This window comes from Homo sapiens, chromosome 4 (genome assembly GCF_000001405.40).
Source record: "Homo sapiens chromosome 4, GRCh38.p14 Primary Assembly".
Lineage (NCBI taxonomy): Eukaryota > Metazoa > Chordata > Mammalia > Primates > Hominidae > Homo > Homo sapiens.
The window spans coordinates 56,936,483-56,945,306 of NC_000004.12; the positions used below are offsets into that span (position 1 = coordinate 56,936,483).

The 8,824-nt window shown below is 44.0% G+C and overlaps 1 annotated feature.

The window, feature by feature from the left end:
* Positions 217-1,416: an enhancer, noted in NCBI's record as "P300/CBP strongly-dependent group 1 enhancer chr4:57802865-57804064 (GRCh37/hg19 assembly coordinates)". NCBI's record gives its function as "activates an origin of replication core promoter dependent on BRD2, BRD4, P300/CBP, MED14 and CDK7 cofactors, with strong dependence on P300/CBP, by STARR-seq in HCT116 cells {active_cell/tissue: HCT116}" and the evidence as "EXISTENCE:reporter gene assay evidence [ECO:0000049][PMID:35650434]".

Genomic DNA, 8,824 nt, shown 5'->3' on the forward strand with positions numbered 1-8,824 from the left:
ATGTATTTATTTTTTTTTGAAACAGTCTCTGTCGCCCAGGCTGGAGTGCAGTGTCATGATCCTAGCTCACTGCAACCTCTGCTGCCCGGGTTCAAGCAACTCTCCTGCCCCAGCCTCGCAAGTAGCTGGGATCACAGGCGCCCACCACCGCGCCTGGCCAATTTTTGTATTTCTAGTAGAGACGGGGTTTCACCACGTTGGCCAGGATGGTATCGATCTCCTGACCTCCTGATCCACCCGCCTCAGCCTCCCAAAGTGCTGGGATTACAGGCATGAGCTACCGTGCCCGGCTGTTTTTTATAAAATGAGACGGAGTTCTGTGTTGCCCAGGGTGGACTCAGATGATCCTCCCACCTCAGTCTCCCTAAATGCTGGGATTACAGATGTGAGCCACCATGCCTGGCCTGTGTGTTTTTTTTTTTTTCTTCTCCCAGACGGAGTCTTGCTCTGTCGCCCAGACTGGAGTGCCATGTCATGATCTCCTTTCACTGCAACCTCGGCCTCCAGGTTCAAGCGATTCTCCTGCCTCAGCCTCCTGAGTAACTGGGATTACAGGTGTCCGCCACAACACCCAGCTAATTTTTGTATTTTAGTAGAGATGGGGTTTCACCATGTGGCCCAGGCTGGTCTCGAACTCCTGAGCTGAAGTATTCCTCCGACTTTGGCCTCCCAAAGTGCTGGGATTACAGGTGTGAGCCACCACGCCCAGCCTGTTGTTTTTTTGTTTTGAGAAACGGTCTTACTCTGTCTCCCAGGCTGGAGTGTGGTGGCATGATCACAGTTCCTGCAGCCTTGAACTCCTGGGCTCAAGTGGTCTTCTTGCCTCAGCCTCCTGAGTAGCTGGGACTACAGACCTACCCCACCACGCCTCTTGCCGCCTCCTCTCAAAAGCGTTCGTATTATAGGCATGAGCCATCATGCCTTGCCACATTTTGTTTTGATGCAGTGTCAGATCTGGAAGATTCTGAGTCAGGAGAATGGTATTTCATATTTGGATTGGTGAGTTATTCACCCTCTTCCCACTTCCTGCAAAACTCCTTATCAGCAACAAAGCAAAATTAACTTTTTTTTCCTCTGAGACAGGGTCTTGCTCTGTTGTCCGGGCCGTAGTGCAGTGGCACCATCATGGCTCACTTCTGCCTCAACCTTCTGGACTCAAGCAAACCTCCCACCTCAGCCTCTTGGAGTAGCTGGAACTACAGGTGCATGCCACACACCCAGCTAGTTTTTTTCTTTCTTCTTTTTTTTCTATTGACAGGGTTTTGCCTTGCTCCCCAGGATGGTCTTGAACTCTTGGACTCAGGCAGTTCACCTGCTTCGGCCTCCTAAAGTGCTGGGATTACAGGCGTGAGCCACAATGCCCGACTACAAAATGAATTTTCTAAGCATTGATTTTATTATGGTAGAGTTGATGATGAGTAGCATGGAATTTTCTAGCTGAGCTGGGATATATGGGGAGTTTAGCTTGAATGTACAAATCCTTTGATTTGGGGTGTTTAATGAATGAAATAATTGCTACAAGGTCTCTCTCCAGTCCTTTGCTGTTGCTTTCCCACAACTATCCTTGGTAAGGGTTTTTAACATACATTACACATTCATACTTGCCTTGTTGCCCCATCCCTTTTTCTTCCCAAGGGTCTCACTTGGGTTGAATATAGAAAGAGTTAACAGTATAGTAGGGTGAGCAGCCTGTTAAAACTCATCCTCAGCTTCATGAAGGCAGATTGATGAAAGTTCTAAGAACCATATGCTAACATCTACTCAGGGAGGTCAGTGTGAAGAAAGTGGTGGCTTTTTTTTTTTTTTCTTTTTTTTCTTTTTGAGAACGGAGTATTGCTCTGTCACCCAGGCTGGAGTGCCCTAGTGCGATCTTGGCTCACTGCAACCTCCGACTCCTTGGTTCAAGCGATTCTTCGGCCTCAGCCTCCCGGAGTAGCTGGGATTACAGGCACGTGCCACCATGCCCAGCCAATTTTTGTATTTTTAGTAGAGATGGGGTTTCACCACGTTGGTCAGGATGGTCTCCATCTCCTGACTTCGTGTTCCGCGCGCTTCAGCCTCCCCAAGTGCTGGGATTACAGGCGTGAACCACCCCTGCACCCAGCCGAAAGTGGCTTTTCAAAGGATTTGAAGTTCACTGTATCAAGTGCTTTGTGGGCCCCGCAGTGGGAGCCAGGTTTACAAGGCGATTCTCTTCTATTATTAAGCAGATCATTTTAACTTTACTAAGCCTGTTTCCTCATCTATAAAGTGGATGTGTAGCACATCTATCTATAGAGTGGCATTTGCTTGGCATATAGTGCTAGCATTAAGACCTCTTCCACTAGATAACAAACCAAATATTAAAGAAAAGGTGCTTTCTCAATTTCTAGTTAAGTTGTATAGCTCATCTCCTTTTTTGCATGGTTTGCGAAGTAGTGAGCATTTTACTGGTATATAAGTAGTATGTAAGCCTTTGTGTCAATCAACATTTCCATGAGAGCCAGAATGCTTTTATTTTTACATACTGGCCCTTATAGGGACAAAGAGTTAATTGCCTAGGCCAAGAATAGTATATGTATATTGATATTAACTAATACACAATGGTAGTTTTACTGTGATTTTAAAATTCTGATAATGTAGAAATCTCTTTGTAAACAGACTGTTTTCTTTCTGTAAGCCTCCAACAAAGTAAGGAGAGTTGCCGGGCGCAGTGGCTTACGCCTGTAATCCCAGCACTTTGGGAAACCGAGGCGGATGGATCACCTGAGGTCGGGAGTTTGAGACCAGCCTGGCCAATATGGAGAAAACCCATCACTACTGAAAAGACACAAAATTAGCCGGGCATGGTGGTGCATGCCTGTAGTCCCAGCTACTTGGGAGGCTGAGGCAGAAGAATTGCTTGAACCTGGGAGGCGGAGGTTGCGGTGAGCCGAGATTGCGTCATTGCACTTCAGCCTGGGCAACAAGAGCGAAACTCCATCTCCAAAAAAAAAAAAAAAAAAAAAAGTCATCCCAAGTAGCAGGAAATAGCAAGACTTGAAAAAGATTATTATTTGTTTTTGAGACAGGGTCTCACCCTTTCACCCAGGCTGGAATGCAGTAGTGCGATCTCATTTCACTGCAGCCTTGGCTCACTGCAATTTTCCTGCCTCAGCTTCCCAAGTAGCTGGGACTACAGGCATGCGCCACTACACCCGGCTAATTTTTGTATTTTTAATAGAGATGGGGTTTTGCCTGTTGGCCAGGCTGGTCTCGAACTCCTGACGTGAAGGAGCCCTCCCACTTTGGCCTCCCAAAGTGCTGGGATTACAGGGGTGAGCCACCGCACCCGGCCAAAAAAGATATTTTTTTCAACTTGGTTTTGAGAAAGGTTCAAGCTTACAGAGACATTGAAACACCTGGCCGAAAAATATATTTTTTTCAACTTTATTTTGAGAAAGGTTCAAGCTTATAGAGACACTGAAAGAATGGTATACTAGGATGGGCGTAGTGGCTCACGCCTGTAATCCCAGCACTTCGGGAGGCCAAGGCGGGCGGATCACCTGAGCTCAGGAGTTCAAGACCAGCATGGCCGACATGGTGTACCCCCCATCTCTACTAAAAATACAGAAGTTAGCCGGGCATGGTGGCACGCGCCTGTAATCCCAGCTACTCGGGAGGTTGAGGCAGGAGAATCGCTTGAACCCAGAGGCGGAGGTTGCAGTGAGCTGAGACCGTGCCATTGCACTTCAGCCTGGGTGACAGAGTGAGACTCTGTCTCAAAAAAGAAAAAAAAGAAAAAAGAAAACATACTCCTCAGTTGGATTCACCACTCACATTTGCTTTCTATATATTTATGTTATTTGCTAAACCACTAGAAATTCAGTTGCAGATATACCCTTTCTAAATATGTCATTTGTATCTCCTAAGGATAAGGGCATTTTCTTCTACAATTAGTATAATTAATTCGGGACATTGAAGATTAGTATTATTAAAAAAAAATTTTTTTTGAGACAGTCATCTAGCGCAATCTCGGCTCACTGCAACCTGCACCTCCCGGGTTCGGTTTCAAGCCATTCTTGTGCCTCAGCTTTCTGAGTAGCTGGGATTACAGACGCGTGCCACCACTCCTGGCTAATCTTTTATTTTTAGTAGAGACGGGGTTTCGCTATGTTGGCCAGACTCTGGAACTCCCGGCCTCAAGTGATCTGCTCACCTTGGCCTTCTAAAGTGCTGAGATTACAGGCGTGAGCCACCGCACCCAGCAAGATTAATGTAATGTTCTAGTATTAGTCTGTACAGATTGAGTATCCCTTAACCAAAAAGCTTGGGACTACAGTGTTTTGGATTTTGGATTTTTGAATATTTGCATTATACTTACCGGTTGAGCATCCCAAATCTGAAAATAAAAAATCTGAAATGGTCCAATTCAGATTTGGGATGCTCAACGAATGTCTTCAAACTGATAAATGTGTTGATACCTAATCCCCTCCATTTATTACCCATTGCACTTGTCACATTTCTTCAGTTTCCTTTAACTTGGAACAATTCCTTAGCCTTTGTCTTTAACAGTGACACTTTAAAGGGTGCACACCAGATGTTTAAAAAATGTCCCTTAGTTTTTTTCTGTTTCTTCCAGCTCCAGTTCAGGTTATGCATTTTGGCAAGGATACTTAACTCTGTTATATTACATGAGAAGGCACATGATGTCAGCTTATTCCAATATTTGTTGTGTTAGGTTGTTAAGGTGTTGTCTGCCAGATTTCTCTACTGTAAGGTTTCTTATAATTCTGTGGGAGTATACATTGAGTCTCCTTCCTCAACAAACCCACTGATTTTAACATCTGTTGGTTCTTGCTTGAATCAGTTATTACTGTCATACCTTATATATTAGCTGATAACTTCTCCAGTCAAGAAGAGCTTTCCCTTCTCTCATTTCTTTTATATCATATCTAATTTCTACACCAGTGTTGGTGTAGACTCAATTCTTAATTTGATTAATGTGTTATGACCCATGACAGTCATTCACTTTACCCCATTCAGCTGTTGGGGGCTGGGGTGCTCATCTCAGGTCCTTGAATGAGACTTTGTACAGTCTATTAATACACTGAAGGGTTCCAATCTGTGACCAACGATGTTCAAACTCAGCCACATCAAACGTCTGTATAAGTCATAACAGTACTATAAGATTTAAAATTTATGAAAGCTTGATGGAATACCTTAAGGGATAAACCGCAAATGGAAATTTACTAGTACTGAAGATTCTTCCAGAAGAGGCAATCTTAGAGAACAATATCCTAACTCTTTTATTAACTTTGAAATACCACAATTTTCATGTCTTCATTTATGTGCTCTAATTAGATAATGTTTAAGTCACAACTCACACAATTACGTGCTCAGAATTCATCTTGATTACAGCTCTCTTCCTACTAACTCTATTTAATTTGTTTCCTCTCCAGAATTAATCACTGTTAACTTGTTACTTACTTGTATATGCGGATTGAAATGCATGATTTCTCAACATGGAATCAGCATTTGCAGCCTAATGCGCTTATTTTTATTAATATCACACCTCTCACAACTTCATGCTGATCCACGTTCATGTTGTAGATTAAGTTATCTACTATTGTATTACTAAATCCTAAATGTTACAGGTTATTAAAAAATCAGATCTGGCCGGGCGCAGTTGCTCACGCTGTAATCTTAGCACTTTGGGAGGCTGACATGGGCAGATCACTTAATGTCGGGAGTTCAAGACCAGCCTAGCCAACACGGTGAAACCCCGTCTCTAATAAAAATACCAAAATTAGCCAGGTGTGGTGGCGCATGCCTGTAATCCCAGCTACTCGGGAGGCTGAGGCAGGAGAATCGCTTGAATCCAGGAGGTGGAGGTTGCAGTGAGCTGGGATTGCTCTACTACACTCCAGCCTGGGCAACAGAGTGATACTCCTCAAGGAAAAAAAAAAATCAGACCCCTATGTCTTTGAAATCTAGTAAGTTAGTGTAAGTCTAAAGTAATATCCATAAATATCATAATTTGTTATGGTCTTTTAAATATTCTCTTTTCCACTTAACATTTCCAAAATCAACATGATGTCCCTTAATATCTTATAAAGTCGAATTTTTTTTTTCTTTTCCCGACACAGAGTCTCGCTCTGTTGCCAAGGCTGGAGGGCAGTGGCATGATCTAGGCTCACTGCAACCTCCACCTCCCGGGTTCAAGCGATTCTCCTGCCTCAACCTCCCAAGTAGCTAGGATTACAGGCACCTGCACCACGCCCAGCTAATTTTTGTATTTTTAGTAGAGGTGGGGTTTCACCATGTTGGCCAGGATGGTCTTGAACTCCTGACCTCAGGTGATCCGCCCCTCTTCGGCCTCCCAAAGTGCTGGGATTACAGGTGTGAGCCATGGCCTAAAGTCGAATTTCTTTCTTTTTTTCTTTCTTTCTTTCTTTTTTTTTTTTTTTTTTGAGATGGAGTTTCGTTCTTGTTGCCCAGGCTGGAGTGCTGTGGCGCAATCTCGGCTCACCACAACCTCTGCCTGCCAGGTTCAAGCGATTCTCCTGCCTCAGCCTCCCAAGTAGCTGGGATTACAGGCATGCGCCACCACGCCAGGCTAATTTTTTATATTTTTAGTAGAGATGGGTTTTCTCCATGTTGGTCAGGCTGGTCTCGAACTCCCGACCTCAGGTGATCCGCCCCCCACGGCCTCCCAAAATGCTGGGATTACAGGTGTGAGCCACTGCGCCCGGCCCTAAAGTCGAATTTCTTAACATTTGATTCCTGAAAAAGGTGGTACAGAAATAAAATATCAGAGTAAAGAGATAGTTGGCACTAATAAAACGAAAAGCCAGCTGGTCAATAAAGCCCCATAATATTCCATTTATTTTTATTACAAATAGGACTGTAATTCCACAGCAGCATTGAAATGCCAAATGAATAATTACTAGAAGGTATCCAAAAAATTCTCTAGCACCCAAATCTCAAACTTGAAGAAGTAGCAAACTTAGCCTACAGAAATAAGAAGTCTGCATGTAAGCATTATTATGTAGGAAGTGATGTCTCTCACAGACTAACCTGTGTACCATTCTCTTGGTTACAAACAACAGCACACTATTTCTTCTCTTAAAGTCTTGTAGTCTATGGGGGAACTGTGTAGTGAACCATCCTGGTGACTCTGGTAAGGAGATTAATACTCTGACTTTCATGTGCATAGTCAGGAATGCTTTAGTTTACAGGATCAAATGTAGCTACACCTATGCCAGGAATAAAAGGCTCAATTTTGACAGTTTTATTTACTGACGATAAATGGGATGTTTGATACTGTTCTGCAATTTGTGAAACTATTAATTTGGAGATCTTTGTCAGTAAGGAGACCTTCATTCTTTAAACTACTGCATAACGTTTCATATTATGGATGTGTCTTAGTTCACTTTGTGCTGCTAAGACAATACCTGAGACGGAGTAACTTTTAAAGAACAGATTTCTGGCCGGGCTTGGTGGCTCATGCCTGTAATCCTAGCACTTTGGGAGGCCAAGGTGGGAGGATTGCTTGAGGCCAAGAGTTCAAGACCAATCTGGCCAACATAGTGAGACCCTGTCTCCATTTAAAAACAAAAAACCCCTCAAAAACAGAACTTTGGGGGACACATTCAAGCCATAGCACATAGCAGGATGTATCATGGGTTAATCATTTTAACATCTATTATTTCTGGGACATCCTTATTGTCAAAATTGGTTGACAGCGTATTTTGAGAGTGGAAGCCATGGTTAAGTGAATGGTTCACATACCCATAATTTATTTCTTACAACCCTACAAGTTATGTTTGTTCATCCCTGTGTTCTTTTTTTTTCCTTTTTTTTTTTTTTTTTTTTGAGACAAAGTCTCTTTCTGTTGCTCAGGCTGGAGTGCAGTGGCGTAATCTCAGCTCATTGCAACCACTGCCTCCCGAGTTCAAGTGATTCTTGTGCCTCAGCCCCCTGGAGTAGGTGGGATTACAGGCGTGGGCCACCACGCCTGGCTAATTTTTGTATTTTAGTAGAGACGAGGTTTCACCATGTTGGCCAGGCTGGTTTTGAACTCCTGTCGTCAGGTGATCCACCTGCCTTGGCCTCCCAAAGTGCTGGGATTACAGGCATGTGTCACCGCACCCGGTCTATCCTTGTGTTCTTAAGGTAGAACTACGTGGCTGGGCGCAGTGGCTCACGCCTGTAATCCCAGTACTTTGGGCGGCCGAGGCGGGTGGATCACGAAGTTAAGAGATTGAGACTATCCTGGCCAACATGGTGAAACCCCGTCTCTACTAAAAATACAAAAATTAGCTGGGCGTGGTGGCGTGCGCCTGTAGTCCCAGCCACTTGGGAGGCTGAGGCAGGAGAATAGCTTGAACCCGGGAGGCAGAGGTTGCAGTGAGCCGAGATCGCGCCACTGCACTCCAGCCTGGCAACAGAGCCAGACTGCGTCTCAAAAAAAAAAAAAGAACTACTTTCATATTTGCCAATAGTACCAAAGCTTTAGAGCCATTATGTTAAAAGTTTCTTTTTACACAGAAGGTGTATTTGCAATGTTTAATTCAGTGTTTATTAAAACAACAAACAATGAGTAACATCTTACTGGCTTCCCTCTATTATGACATCTAACCACCAGTTTAAATTTACTAAAGACTAGCTGGGCACAGTGGCTCACGCTTGTAATCCCAGCACTTTGGGAGGCCAAGGCAGGTGGATCACCTGAGGTCAGGAGTTCAAGATCAGCCTGGTCAACATGGTGAAACCCCATCTCTACTAAAAATGCAAAAATTAGCCAGGTGTTGTGGTGAGCACCTGTAGTCCCAGCTACTCAGGAGGCTGAGGCAGGAGAATC